The 15,342-nt window shown below is 40.1% G+C and overlaps 1 protein-coding gene and 1 long non-coding RNA gene across 15 annotated transcripts in view; one reads left to right on the forward strand and one right to left on the reverse strand.

Moving 5' to 3' along the window:
- MTUS2 (microtubule associated scaffold protein 2) overlaps positions 1-15,342 on the forward strand; it is a 685,985-nt gene that overhangs the window by 419,053 nt on the left and 251,590 nt on the right. For 3 of the 13 annotated variants that reach the window (XM_017020501.3, XM_011535022.2, XM_024449335.2), the window contains one exon: positions 3,282-3,372. The exons of the other annotated variants lie outside the window; for them this stretch is intronic. In XM_017020501.3, the coding sequence (XP_016875990.1) occupies positions 3,282-3,372 (91 nt within the window). The remainder of the gene's footprint in view (positions 1-3,281; positions 3,373-15,342) is intronic. 13 annotated transcript variants of the gene reach the window in all.
- MTUS2-AS2 (MTUS2 antisense RNA 2) lies at positions 364-11,539 on the reverse strand. 2 transcript variants are annotated; one of them, NR_185827.1, is made up of 3 exons: positions 11,400-11,539; positions 3,514-3,683; positions 364-943 (listed from the first exon to the last, which is right to left on the reverse strand). It is a non-coding gene; the product is annotated as an MTUS2 antisense RNA 2 (long non-coding RNA). The 2 variants fall into 2 exon arrangements; NR_046704.1 differs by lacking the exon at positions 3,514-3,683.

The following is a 15,342-nucleotide window of genomic DNA, read 5'->3' on the forward strand; positions in this document are numbered from 1 at the left end:
GTTCTGGAGATCTAACGTACAGCATGGTGACTATAGTTAACAGTGCCATATTCTACACTTGAAACTTGCTGAGAGTCATCCCCAAGTGTTCTCACCACAGACACACAAAAAAGGTAGCTGTGTGAGGTGGTGAATGTATTAATTAGCTTGATTATTACATTATTTCATAATGTATACATATATTAAAACATCACATCACACAGTAAATGTATACAATTTTTGTCAATGATGCCTCAGTAAAGCTGGGAAGAAAGAACACATACTCTCTAAAGCCAAACAAAATTTATTTTGTTCTATTTTATTTAGAATTTGTACATTTGAGAAACAAAGGGGCGGAGGTGAGGAGAGGGTCCCTGTGTTCCAATTCCATTTACACTGTTGCCTGGGAGTCTGAGTTGACAGTGATACCAATACCATGGCTAATGGTTCAGTTCTGGGCCTCAGTTTGTATATAATTATAGGAACTATGCACAATATGTCTTCTTCTATTAATTTGCTTCAATTAAATTCAGCAAATACTTATTGGGAATGTATTACAGGGCAGTTATTGTGTTGGGTACTATGAGAGTTATGGTCTTGATTGCCAAGGATTCATGGTCTAGTGGGACGGGCAGATGGACAGAACTGTGATGTAATGGAACATGCATACACACATGTGTGGGGAAGGGCATATCTGACAAATAATCTGAAATGAGGGAGATGCAATAGCTGCTTTTTCTATTTTATGCTGCCCATTTATGTTGCTTTCATTTTATCCTTACTGTCTCCTGTTCTTTCCCTACTCCCCTGGCCCAGTAGAGCAGACAGAATATGCACTTTCTCTTGTGCTGGAGGTAATCCAGGAGTGAGGCCACTTGATAGATTCTGGGGGTAGAAACCAGAGTGGAGAGATGAATCCAAGAGGTTCTCAAGTTTTGGGGGCCTCACAGAATCCTTTGAAAATCTGGAAAAAAAACAACAACCCAGAAACTGATAAGCTCAATTCTCAGAAAAATACTTCTTTGTGCATGTGGTTTCTGGTTTCCTGAAGCCCCTCTGTAGACCTCCTAGGGTGAAGAACTGCTGAAGTCAATGTCAGAGAAAACCTCTTCAGGTTTTGATTGCAAGTCCTTCTGGAAAGAGAAATAATTTCGTTTCAACCACACAATAAATAAACAGACACATGGATGCCATGAGAGTCAGTTAACATGGCCACTGTCTCATCAGGACATAATTTACCCTTCCTAGCACTGTCTAAATATGGTTACCAGCATTAATACTAACAAACTATGGAGATGTTATGAACTCAGTCCCCATACGGGTAGAGTATGGCAACAACTGTGGTCTAATCAGCCATCTCTCCCAACTGTAAGAATTCAAGCATATAAAACCCCAGCTACCAGATGTGATGCTGTAGAAACCATCTGCAAGTTTAATGCTGTTGTAATGATGATGGAAAGACTCAGTGTGAAATCGAATATCTGATCCTTGTTTACAAAAGTCAAGTATGTTGACTCCCACTTTTGCTATTTCAATTGCCTTCACCCTGTGTGAATCACAGTTGTAATACCGACACATTACTTTTGTCAGTGTAAGATAAAAAATAAAGTATTATTTTTTCTTTAATTGGATTCTCAATGCACTATAAAAATTTCAGTGTGTTATCATCTGAGGGTAATTTGGTTCTGGGTAATCTCATATGATTAAAATTTCTAAACAGTGGAACCCTGATTGTGGGATGCATATTCTTAGCAAACAAATGCAGTTTTTACATTTCTTATGATTTTATTTATGAAGAGTATTTTTAATGAACTGCATTTGATTTTTTATCTCAAATCTACCCCTTTATTTTTGACTTGCTTTTCTTTTTGTTAAAAGTCAATATGTGTAACAGTTTTATGAAAACCTTATAAAATTCAACCTTATAAAAAAGAAAAATTATATTTCTTTTAAATGAGAAAAGATGCCTCATTTCTCCTTTCTCTGCCCTTATCAGCTTCTTTAATGACATTGCATATTTGTTTTTATGTTTTTAATTATTGACAAAGAAGAGAGGAAAAAGTAAAAACATATATTACATTTAATATGTATCAAATACATACTGCCCTAATGTGAAATTATGAAAAGGGGAAGACCCTTCAACAGAGTTGAAAGAGCCCCAGCCCTGGGTTACAGGGCTTAGAGGTTATTTCTAGCTCTGAGCCTAGTTTTCTGTACAGCCTTGAGCAAACCACTTACCTCTGTCCATTTCTCTTTTCTTGTCTTTAAAATTGACAGAACAATTTCATGGAGACTTTAAGTGAAAATCAAATGCCTGTCACAATATAGCACCCCTCCATACACAAACATCTTAGTCTTTCCCTTTCTCAGTAATTATATTATTTATAAGGAGGTATTCATTTATTTACTTGCGTAGTACCTTTTTGCTTTGTTGGGACGGGGTCTCACATTCCCAGCATCTAGCACAACGCCAGCACACTATACTGACTCTCTCATCCTTCTCAAGTCACCTCTCCTGGGAAGCTTTTTCAGAGCGGCCGCCCTCCCCCAGGTGGAATTGACATTTCAGTCTCTCTTCAAACCCCTGCCTACCCAGTACAGATTTCTCAAAAATCACATGCTACATTTGATTGCATTTGTTCTGTTTAAGTCTTTTTGTTCTTGCAAGTTCATCAAGGGTTTCTTGGACAAGAACCCCGTCTTAGTTTATCTCTGTGTACTGAGCATCTAGGATAGTGCACTGTCTACAGTAGATACCTGATTTTTAAGTGAATGAAAAACATTATGATGGTGGAGGTTGGGCTAGCACACTAGGTGAATTGACTTACGTTCTGGCAGTCTGTCCAATCCACCTTAGAAAGCCTTGCCCATTTCTGGGTGGGCAGGGGAGCTGTGGTTCTGAGAGGTGTGCTGTAGTTAGGGTTACTGTATGTGCTGCCTTGCCTGCCACACTCCCATTTCCTGCCCGCTCACCCTGGCATCCCATTCAGCTTTGCGTTCATCCCAGATATATGTTACTTTAATATTTAGAAAATGTTTAGAGAGTTTTAAAAGTAATTTCATAGGGCTGTATTATCATTTTCTTTATGCATAACTAGATATATTTTACATATCATAAAATTCACCAGTTTCAGAAGTACACTTCAGTGACTTTTTGTCAATTTACTGAGTGGTTCAACCATAACCATATCTAGTTTAGAATATTTTCATCATCTCAGTAAAAGCCCTCATGCCCATTTATGGTTAATCCCTATTTCTATCCCCAGCTAGTAATCTACTGTCTATCAATTTGCCTTTTCTAGGAATTTCATCTAAATGGAACCATGCAATATGTGGTCTCTTTTGTCTGGCATCTTTCACTAATGCTTCTGAGGCTCATCTGTCTTGTAGCAGGTATCATTCGTTCATTCCTTTTTTATTGTGAGTAGTATTCCAATTTATGGATATACTACCTTGTATCTATCCAGCTAATAGAACTATATTATAATTTAAAACCAATTGTTTGGTAATAAATATTTCAAAAACACTGTATACCTTATTATTTTGGTGTCCCCTGTCTCCTCTGAATTATCTGTTTGGATGGTACCAGCACCCTGGCTACAGCATAACTTATCCACAGGTAATTTCCAGTGTAGAGAACCCTTAGCCAGGTTGGTTTGATTTTTTTTCATATCAACATTTCTTGAGCACCTTTGTGCTGGATCCTAAAGATGAAAAAATAAGTAAGATATCATCCCTGCCTTTGAAGAACTTATAGTCTAATAACAACAGCTAACATTGTTGAGTACCTACTATTGCCAGGTATGGTTCTAAGTACATTACATGTATTATCTCATTAAATCCTCACGATAGCATATGAGGAAGATAGTACCATTTGTCATCTTTTATAGATTAAACTGGTTCAGAGAGGTTAAGTAACTAGCCCAAGTAACTTCCACTGGTTTAGGAGACTGGGTGTATGGTCGATGGTGGTGCTGGTAACTGAGATAGGAAACTCAGAAAATAATAATAGTTCTTAAAATGCAGGAATGGAAAAGGTACAAAGAGAGTTTGAGACAGATCGAATCTGAGATACTATGGGACGCTTGAGGAGAAATTTTCAACGGGTATTTGCATCTACTCATTTAAAGCTGGGGCACGAAATCAAAGCTAGAAATATAAATTGTCATTAGCATATAAGAGGAGTAAAGTCACAAGAAAGGATGCCACTCAGGGGAGAGTGTGTAGAAGGAGAAAAGCTGAAGCTGAGCCTTGGGGAGCACCAGTGTGCACAGGAAAGCGGGAGCAAAGCCACTCCACACCCAGAAGAAACATCGGGGATATGGGAGGAGAACCAAAAGATAGCTGGGCCGCAGGAGCCAATAGGCAGACAGATGAGGCAAGGAAAGCAGCAAATGCAGCATAAAGACCCAGGAAGATGACACCAAAAGTGTCTCCTCAATGTGCGAATGTGGAGGCTATTGATGACATTTGCTTTCAAAGACTGGCAAGGTCGGAAGCCAGTTGGTAGTGGATTTAGAAATTAATGGGCCATAATTGCAAGTAAGGGCTACTCTTTTGAGAGATTCAAGAACTAAAGCCTTGAAGCCTTAGAGCATTAAAGGAAGATTTTCTTTTCAATATGACAGATTTGAGAATACTTACACACTTGGGGTAGGGAGCCCAGAAAGGAGAAGTGTTGAAAATATTAATATAAGAGAGTAAGGAAACAATTCAGTAGTTCTCAACCCTGGCTATATGTGAGAACCACCTGGGCTGGAGAAAGCAGTTGGGGGGATGCCGTTGAAGAACAGAAACTCATTCAGCTGGTCTGGTAGAAGGGCTGAGGCATCGATACAATTTGTATAGCTCCCTAGATGATCCTAATTTATAGCCAGGGTTGAAAAGCACTGGGATAATTGATAGAATGGTATTTCAGAGGAGGTGGGAGTAGTTGGGATTAATAGCAACACAGAGGCATTGGCCTTGACCAGGAGAACAAGTATGTGAGTCTGTGAGACCAGGGGTGAACATGAGTATGTTTGTAGATAAGTTTACAGATGTAAAGGTAGGAAGTTGAAGTAGCACATGCCTATTCAGTATTCTCAGTTGAAGGGTGAGGCTAATAGGTGAAGGGAGTTGGAGCTCCATGGCTTGAGAAAGGAGATAAAACTTTGGAATACATTCTGGAAGGAGTAGGGTGGGGAGTTGAACAGTGGTCAGCTTGTGCAGATGGCCCACCTGTAGTTGGGGACACACAGTCCTAATGCAGTTCCAGTGTGAAAATAAAACCTAAAAGGGCCATTTCCTCCAGCAGTATGGGTGCAGAGAGGGAGACTTACAGTCATGATCGAGGGCTGGGGTTTTGTCTAGAATGGGCTCAGTAAGGACAGGGTGGTAGATTCTGAAGATCCCACTGATGGAACAGTACAAGAGTTTTCAACCATGGATCCCGGGAAAAGGAGAGAAGCAAGTGAGGGCAGAGGAGGCTGATTAGGAGGAAATGAAGGGCATGGAGACTGAATGGGCCACTGAGATCCAGGTGAAAGACTGGTAAGGTGAGTGGCATGAACACACTGGCAGGATGGGAGCTCATGGTTGGCGCATGCTATTGGAAGTTAGGCTAATATGGATCAGCTCCAAGGTGCAGTGCTTGACTGTGGTTAAGGTTGAATGAGGTAAAATTAAAAGTAAAAGTCTGGGCCGGGCGCGGTGGCTCACGCCTGTAATCCCAGCACTTTGGGAGGCCGAGGCGGGCGGATCACGAGGTCAGGAGATCGAGACCATCCCGGCTAAAACGGTGAAACCCCGTCTCTACTAAAAATACAAAAAATTAGCCGGGCATAGTGGCGGGCGCCTGTAGTCCCAGCTACTTGGGAGGCTGAGGCAGGAGAATGGCGTGAACCCGGGAGGCGGAGCTTGCAGTGAGCCGAGATCCCGCCACTGCACTCCAGCCTGGGCGACAGAGCGAGACTCCGTCTCAAAAAAAAAAAAAAAAAAAAAAAAAAGTAAAAGTCTGTTGAGTGGAAGATGTAAAGGACATATTAGGCTAGGGTATTGGATGTATCATTTGTCTGGAGATTGAAAACATCCTATAAAGGGTTAAGTTTGAGCTGTTAAAAGATGAGCCTGATGCCCATGTTTCTGATGAATAAGAGAGGACAATCATAGACATGCATCAGGATTAGTGAGATAAGGAGAGGTAGATAGATGTTAAGCAATGAGACTCAAAGCAGGGGAGAATTTTACCAGAAGGTGGTAGATAATTCATGGTTTTTGTTGGAATGAGGAAAGCAGAGATGGTAAAACTTTCTTCTAACTCAACTCCATAGTATTTAGGCCATGGAACAGGTGGCATTTTCCACCAGAGAAATCTGCAGGGAAAAAGGAATCCTGGGAAAAGATGAGTTTGGGGTAGGCAAGAAAGTGCAAGGTATGTTCTAATCAGGAGCTGGTGTGGAAGGGAGGTATTTCCCAAAGTCTGGCATTGAGTAAACAGCAACTGCACTGGATAACAGGGACCTTCAGCCTGAGAGCTGGATTCCTGCTTCAAGTCTCCTTCCATCCTTATAACTCATGAAAGAGAAAGTCTTCATATACGTTGCCATTCTTTGAAGATCCCTCTATCACTTGCTAATCTTGCTTTCTAGCAAAGACAGAGTAGGCCTTAGGCATAAAGCTGGATTTTAATAGGGTCTTGTTAGTATTTCATCTATTTTAATTTTTTTTTTTTTTTTTTTTGAGACGGAGTCTCGCTCTGTCACCCAGGCTGGAGTGCAGTGGCACGACCTCCGCTCACTGCAAGCTCTGCCTCCCAGGTTCACGCCAGCCTCCTGTCTCAGCCTCCTAAGTAGCTGGGACTATAGGCGCCTGCCACCACGCCCGGCTAATTTTTTGTATTTTTTAGAAGAGACGGGGTTTCACCATGTTAGCCAGGATGGTCTTGATCTCCTGAGCTCGTGATCTGCCCGCCTAGGCCTCCCAAAGTGCTGGGATTACAGGCGTGAGCCACCGCGCCCAGCCTCATCTATTTTAATATTACCTTTCTTCTAGAAAATGATCCCGGTCATAGAAAATGATCCTGGTATATTTATGTCATATAAAATCCTTTGTAAAATATGTATTTAAGTCTTTAAAAAGCAAGTTCATTTTTAAATATTCAGTAAATAATAGCAGAAGTGGCAAAAAAAATAGCAAAGGTGGTATGGGAATGACTGGGGTTTTGGAAGTTCTGACCCAGGGGGTGATTTATGAAGGACAGAATGCAGGGGAAGGATTTAAAAGGGACAGCAGGCAAGAACACTAGGGAAGGAAGGAAACTATGAGAAGATAAAGGGTCCAACATCCGAGGCAGACCTAGACCATTCGGATCTTCTGAGTTTCCTTAGGATAGTCCCCAGAAGCAGAAGAGGCCCATGGAGCTCCTCTCCCCGGATCTCCTGTTGCTGCTCAACACAGAACTCAGAGACCAGAGAGCCGGCTGAGCCAGGGCAGCCTTTGTGAGGCTGTGCTCCCAAGCAGTTAGTGGGAATTTTGTGTGCTTATTAATGAAGGTTCTTAATGGAGTCACAGGAAAAACCACAGACCTACCAAGTTGAACTCAAACAGCACCTTGCTATGGCTTCTTTTCTCCCAAGATGTAGTTCATTAGGAATAAGTTTCTGAATGTGTATAGCTGAGGGTACTTGGGTTTTAAAGCAATGGAGTCAAGCAAAGGCAATAGTGAGAGGTTTTTAGCCCTCCACAAGGAAAACTACAAGATGCTGTCAAAAGAAATAACGGACAACACAAACAAATGGAAACACATCCCATGTTCATGGATGGGTAGAATCAATATTGTGAAAATGACCATAACTGCCAAAAGTAGTCTAGAAATTCAATGCAATTCTCATCAAAATACCACCATCTTTCTTCACATAACTAAAAAAAAAAAAAAACAATTCAAAAATTCATATGGAGCCAAAAAAGAGCCTGCATAGCCAAAGCAAGTCTAAGCAAAAAGAACAAATCTGGAGGCATCACAGTACCTGACTTCAAACTATACTGTAAGGATATATTCACCAAAACAACATGGTACTGGTATGAAAATATGCACACAGATCAATTGGACAGAATAGAAAACCCAGAAATAAAGCCGAATACCTACAGCCAACTGATCTTTGGCAAAGCAAACAAAAACATAAAGTGGGGAAAGGACACCTTATTCAACAAATGAGGCTGGGATAATTGGCAAGCCACATGCAGAAGAATGAAACGGGATTCTCATCTCTTACCTTATACAAAAATCAACTCAAGATGGATCAAAGACTTAAATCTAAGACCTGAAACCATAAAAATTCTAGAACATTAGAAAAACCCTTCTAGAAATTGGCTTAGGCAAATACTTCATGACCAAGAACCCAAAAGCAAATGCAACAAAAGAAAGATAAATAGATGGGACTTAAAACTAAAAAGCTTCTGCTCAGCAAAAGAAATAATCAGCAAAGTAAACAGACAACCCACAGAGTCGGAGAAAATCTTTGCAAACTATGCATCTGATAAAGGACTAATAACCAGAATCTACAAGGGACTCAAACAAATCAGAAGAAAGAAAATCCCATCAAAAAGTGGGCAAAAGACATAAATAGACAATTCCCAAAAGAAGATACGTAAATGGCCAACAAACATACGAAAAAATGCTCATCATCACTAATTATCAGGGAAATGCAAATCAAAACTACAATGTGATACCGCCATACTCCTGCAAGAATGCCCGTAATCAAAAAATCAAAAAATAATAGATGTTAACATGGATGTGTGAAAAGGGAACACTTGAATACTGCTGGTGGGAATGTAAACTAGTACACCCATTATGGAAAACAGTGTGGAGATTCCTTAAAGAATTCAAAGTAGATCTACTGTTTGATCTAGCAATCCCATTACTGGGTACCTACCTACAGGAAAAGAAGTCGTTTTAGGAAAAAGACACTTGCACATGCATGTTTATAGCAGTGCAATTCACAATTCCAAAAATGTGGAACCAGCCCAAATGTCCATCAGTCAACAAGTGAATAAGCAGAATGTGACATATATGCCATGGAATACTATTCAGCCATAAAAAGGAATGAAATAATGGCATTCGCAACAACCTGGATGGAACTGGAGACCATTATCCTAAGTGAAGTAGCACCAGAATGGAAAACCAAACATCATATGTTCTCACTCAAAAGCGGGAGCTAAGCTATGAGGATGCAAAGGTGTAAGAATAATATAATGGACTTTGGAGACTTGGGGAAGGGTGGGAGGGGGGTCATGGATAAAAGACTGCACATTGCATGTAGTGTACATTCCTTAGCTGATGGGTGCACCACAGTCTTGGAAATCACCACTAAAGAACTTATCCATATAACCACCTGTTCCCCAAAAACTTATTGAAATATAAAAAAAAGAAAAATCCGTCATATCCAAAGTATACGATACCCTGTAATTTTCTTTTTAAAAAAATTTTTAAATATATTTTTTATTTTATTTTACTTTAAGTTCCAGGATACATGTGGTGAATGTACAGGTTTGTAATCTAGGTATATGTGTGCCATGGTGGTTTGCTGTACCTCTCAACTCATCACCTAGGTTTTAAGCCCCACATGCATTAGCTATTTGCCCTGATACTCTCCATCTCCTCCCCCAGCAACAGGCACCAGTGTGTGTTGTTCCCCGCCTTGTGTCCATGTGTTCTCATCGTTCATCTCCCACTTATGAGTGAGAACATGTGGTGTTTGGCTTTCTGTTCCTGTGTTAGTTTGCTGAGGATGATGGCTTCCAGCTTCATCCATGTTCCTGCAAAGGACATGATCTCATTCCTTTTTATGGCTGCATAGTATTCCATGGTTTATATGTACCACATTTTCTTTATCCAGTCTAGAATTGATGGACATTTGGGTTGGTTGCATGCCTTTGTTATTGTGAATAGTGCTGCAATAAACATATGTATGCATGTATCTTTATAACAGAATGATTTCTTTCGTTCGTTTGTTCGTTTGTTCTTTCTTTCTTTCGACAGAGTCTCGCTCTGTCACCCAGGCTGGAGTGCAGTGGTGCTATCTCGACTCACTGCAACTTCTGACTCCCAGCTTCCAGCAATTCTCCTGCCTCAGCTTCCCAAGTAGCTGGGACTACAGGCGTGCACCACTATGCCTGGCTAATTTTTGCATTTTTTTTAGTAGAGATGGGGTTTCACCATATTGGCCAGGCTGGTCTCAAACTCCTGACCTCATGATCCACCCACCTCAGCCTCCCAAAGTGCTAGGATTACAGGCTTGAGTCACCGCACCCAGCCAAAACGAATGATTTATATTCCTTTGGGTATATACCCAGTAATGGGATGGCTGGGTCAAATGGTATTTGTGGTTCTAAATCCTTGAGGAATCACCATACTGTCTTCCACAATGGTTGAACTAATTTACATTCCCACCAACAGTGTATAAGTGTTCCTGTTTCTCCACAGCCTCACCAGCATCTGTTGTTTCTTGACATTTTAATAATCGCCATTCTGACTGGCATGAGATGGTATCTCATTATGGTTTTGATTTGCATTTCTGTAATGATCAGTGATGTTGAGCTTTTTTTAATATGTTTGTTGGCGGCATAAATGTCTTCTTTTGAGAAGTGTCTCATCATGTCCTTTGCCCACTTTTTGATGGGGTTGTTTTTTCTTGTAAATTTGTTTAAGTTCTTTGTAAATTCAGAATATTAGACCTTTGTCAGATGGGTGTTTTCCAAAAATTTTCTCCCATTCCGGTAGGTTGCCTGTTCACTCTGATACTAGGATTTCCTATTTAATAAATGGTTCTGGGAAAATTGGCTAGCCATATGCAGAAAACTGAAACTGGACCCCATCCTTACACCTTATACAAAAATTAACTCAAGATGGATTAAAGATTTAAATGTAAAATCCCAAACCATAAAAACCTTAGAAGAAAACCTAGGCAATACCATTCAGGACATAGGCATGAGCAAAGATTTTATGATGAAATAACCAAAAGCAATTGCAACAAAAGCTAAAATCGACAAATGAGATGTAATTAAAGAGCTTCTGCACAGCAAAAGATACCCTGTAATTTTCAAAGTAGTTAAAACAAGTTTAAATAAAGTCTAAATTCTTTCTTAAAAAATAATAAAATAAAATAAAATGGATAAGGAAAACCAGGTGGCATATAATACTCAAACAGTGAAAAAGAAGGAATAACATGTTCAAGTTGAAATATTTTGATTATGTTGTGGTGTCATTGGCTCTCGTCTTTCTGCTGTGACCAGGGCATGTTCATTCAGTCATCAAAATCCCGAGGAGCTCAGTTGTATGGTTTGGAACAAGAACATGAGTTTCAGTATCAGCATGCCATCTTAATGGCCTCAGAACAGTGCTATCGATTATGACCATTCAGAAAAATATGATTCTTGCTTACTTGACAAATGAAGAGCTGCCTCATTGTCTTAATTCATCTTTGGAAATAATGCAAGCATTTCATCACTCTTGCATGGCTGAATTTGCATCCGAGATCATCTTGGAGCATTTCACAGGAGCTACACTCCGGAGGGAAATACTACACATAGAGGCAGAGAAGGCAGACCTGAGTATCACACCGTAAAAGTAGAATTCTCACCTTTTTGTCCACTCTCCGCATTTCACAGGGGAGAGGGAATGATTTTGATTCTATGCTTTCAGAAATTTTGGCTTACATACGACTTCTCATTTTGAAAAATAGCGATTAGTGTTGTCACATCTAGTCTCTCAGGATAAACTGCTTTACAAATTTAACATTATGGTTTGGAAATTTTCTTAGTTAAGTACCAAGAATTTCTAGTTTTTATTACCCGTAAATTTCAATTTAACACCAACCCGCAAAAAACAATAATCTTCAGTGCTCAGAAGATGTGCAGTCCCCATAGAGCAGAGCAGACTGTCTATATTGACCAAAGTTTTAAATACCAGAGCAGCACTGATACTGCTGTTGGGAACAGGTATCACCCAGAGGGTTTGTGGTTTATCAGACATTGTCACTGATTCTCTTGCTCCACATGAAATGCTCCCTCTTTTCATTGAGAGTTCAAAGTGTAGAAAAAGAAGAAACTGATCAGATGGTAATTTATAATATAAAGTTGTGATTGTGGCTTTAGTGAAGATTGCTGAGTGAATACGAGAACAAGATCATTTAGCATAAAATTAACAGCAGAAGCTTTGGGGTTAAAACCTTGAAGTTCAAATCCAAACTCTGTACTTATGTAGGCAAGCCCCTTAATATCACTCAGCCTTGGCTTTCTTACCTGTGAAAATGGGATGATGATAATAATAATAATAATAATAATAATAAATGCCTACCATCTGGCATGGGCATGAGGTTTTTAAACCATTTTTAAAACTTACATTTTGACCATTTTTATTAGATTGGTGCAAAAGTAATTGCAGTTTTTCAAAAACCTCAATTACTTTCACACCAACCTAATAAGTGTACAGTACAGTAGCACTAAGTACATTTACATTGTTGTGCAACCATCACCACCATCTACCTCGACGTTCTCATCATCCAAAACAGAAACTCTGTGCCATTAAACACTGACTCCCCATTTATCCCTCCCCCGCAGCTTCTGGCAACCGCCATTCTACTTTCTCATCTCTATGAACTGCTATTCTACTTTTCTCATCTCTATGAATTTGCCTACTCTAGGTACCTCCTATGAGTGGAATGATACAGTATTTGTTCTTTCCTGAGCATGGTATCTTCAAGGTTCATCCATGTTGTGGCATATGTCAGAATTTCCTTCCTTTTTGAGGCTGAATAATATTTCATTGTGTGCATATACCACATTTTGTTTATTCATTTATCTGTCAATGGACATTTGGGTTGTTTCCACCTTTTGGCTATTGTAAATAAAGTTGCTATGAACACGAGTCTACAAATATCTATTTGAGTCCCTGCTTTCAGTTCTTTGAGTATATACCTAGGACTGGAATTGCTGGATCACACAGTAATTTTGTTTAATTTTTGGAGGAACCACCATGCTCTTTTGAGTTTACAGTGAGAAATTAGAACAAAACACTTGGAATCTTTCTGAACTTTGCACTCAAGCTTGGCATAGAAATAAAACTGATTTGCCTTCCAGACGCCAGGGCCTCTTCTCCTGTCCAAACTAACTTTACAGGTAATAGTATTTTTATAATTACTATCTAAATACTATTATAATATAATCGTATCTTAATAATTACTATTAAGTAATCCCCTTTCTACAAATTAGTGGAGAAGTACTTCCAAGTCATGGCTCCTAGTTAGACCATGAAATACTCGTTCCCGTGGACTTATTATATTTTCTGGCTGAGTCATTAAACTAGGCCTTATTCACAAATAATATAACCAAATGATAATAAGATGTACCCATAACCCTTTTGGCCTCATCCTGATAGTTAACCTTTTCTGGAGTAGGTCTAAATGCGTCCTGGCCACAGTGAGTGAGGCGTTGCTGCAGGGATTGCATGTTTAGAAAATGTAGGAGGCAGGGGAGGACACATGGTTTTAGGTGCTGCCAGAAAACTCCTTCCAACATCTAGAATTTCTCACCCTAAAGCAGTGATATGGTTTGGCTGTGTCCTCACCCAAATCTCTTCTTGAATTTTGGCTCCCGTAATTCCCACGTGTTATGGGAGGGACCCAGTAGGAAATAATTGAACCATGGGGGCAGTTTCCCCCATACTGTTCTCATGGTAGTGAATAAGTCTCACGAGATCCCTCATACTGTTCTCATGGTAGTGAATAAGTCTCACGAGATCTGATGGTTTTATAAGGGGTTTCCCCTTTCACTTGGCCCTCATTCTCTCTTGTCTACCACCATGTAAGACCTGCCTTTCGCCTTTTGCCATGATTGTGAGGCCTCCCCAGCCACATGGAACTGTGAGTCCATTAAGCTTCTTTTTTTTTTATAAATTACCTTGTCTCCGGTATGTCTTTATCAGCAGCATGAAAATGGACTAATAGAAGTAGGGAGAACATTCTTCCAGTGGGTAACCTAGAAAGAGAATTGGATGTTTATACTAAAGGTGTCTCTTTGGGACTTTTCTGTCATTTTACATTTTTGGCCTTTTTTTTTTTTCTTCTCAGGGCCTCATCCTGGGTTATTTTCTCTCTCTAAAAATCACATCCCCGGCTGGTCACAGTGGCTCACGCCTGTAATTCTAGCACTTTGGGAGGCCGAGGCAGGCAAATCACTTGAGATCAGGAGTTTGAAACCAGCCTGACCAACATGGTGAAACCCTGTCTCTACTAAAAATACAAAAATTAGCCAGGTGTGGTGGCACACACCTGTAATCCCAGCTACTCGGGAGGCTGAGACAGGAGAATCGTTTGAACCCAGGAGGCAGAGGTTTCAGTGAGCCAAGATCATGCCATTGCACTCCAGCCTGGGTGACAGAGCAAGACTCCATCTCAAAAAAAAAATTAAAAATATAAATAAAAAAATAAAAATCACATCCTCCTGTGGCTTTATATACCATTTCTATTACTGCCCATTCTCAATTTTCCACCTCCAGCCCAGCGTCTGTCCTGAGCTCTTTTATTTATTCCTATATTTATTTGACAAATTTTATTGAGTCCTTGCTATGGGATACATCAGTGAATAAAATAGACAGAATTCCTGGAGGGTTTGCATTCTAACAGGAGGAGACCGTATTAGTCCATTTTCATACTGCTATGAAGAAATACCTAAGACTGGATAATTTATAAAGAAAAAGAGGTTTAATGGACTCACAGTTCCACATGTCTGGAGAGGCGTCACAATCATGATGGAAGGCGAGGAAGAGCAAGTCACATCTTACGTGGATGGCAGCAGGCAAAGAGAGAGAGAGAGCTTGTGCAGGGGAGCTCCTCTTTTTAAAACCATCAGATTTCATGAGACATATTCACTATCACGAGAACAGCACGGGAAAGACTTGCCCCCATGATGTAATTACCTCCCACTGAGTCCCTCCCACAACACGTGGGAATTCCTTCAAGATGAGATTTGGGAGGGGACACAGCTAAACCATATCAAAGACTAAGTAAATAAGTAAACATAATAAGCCTGAAGATGACATAGTGTGTTAGAAGGTGAGATAGGTTCTGGAAAAGAAGTGACACAAGATAGGGAAGCTGGACCATGATGAGGATGAGAGGGTTGGGTTGCAATTATGGCTAATTGTGAATAATTTTAAGTGTTCTTCTGTGTGTAATATCTTCCTTCTTAGATGCTTAGCTCCACTGGGGCTTACATTCTGTCCTGAGGCACAGAGGATGTTCTTTTTAATGAGATGTATGATTGAGTGAGTAAAGGAGGCAACGAACAAACAGGCACACAGGAAGACAGAGGCAGAATGGCCTGGAC

This window comes from Homo sapiens, chromosome 13, assembly GCF_000001405.40.
Source record: "Homo sapiens chromosome 13, GRCh38.p14 Primary Assembly".
Lineage (NCBI taxonomy): Eukaryota > Metazoa > Chordata > Mammalia > Primates > Hominidae > Homo > Homo sapiens.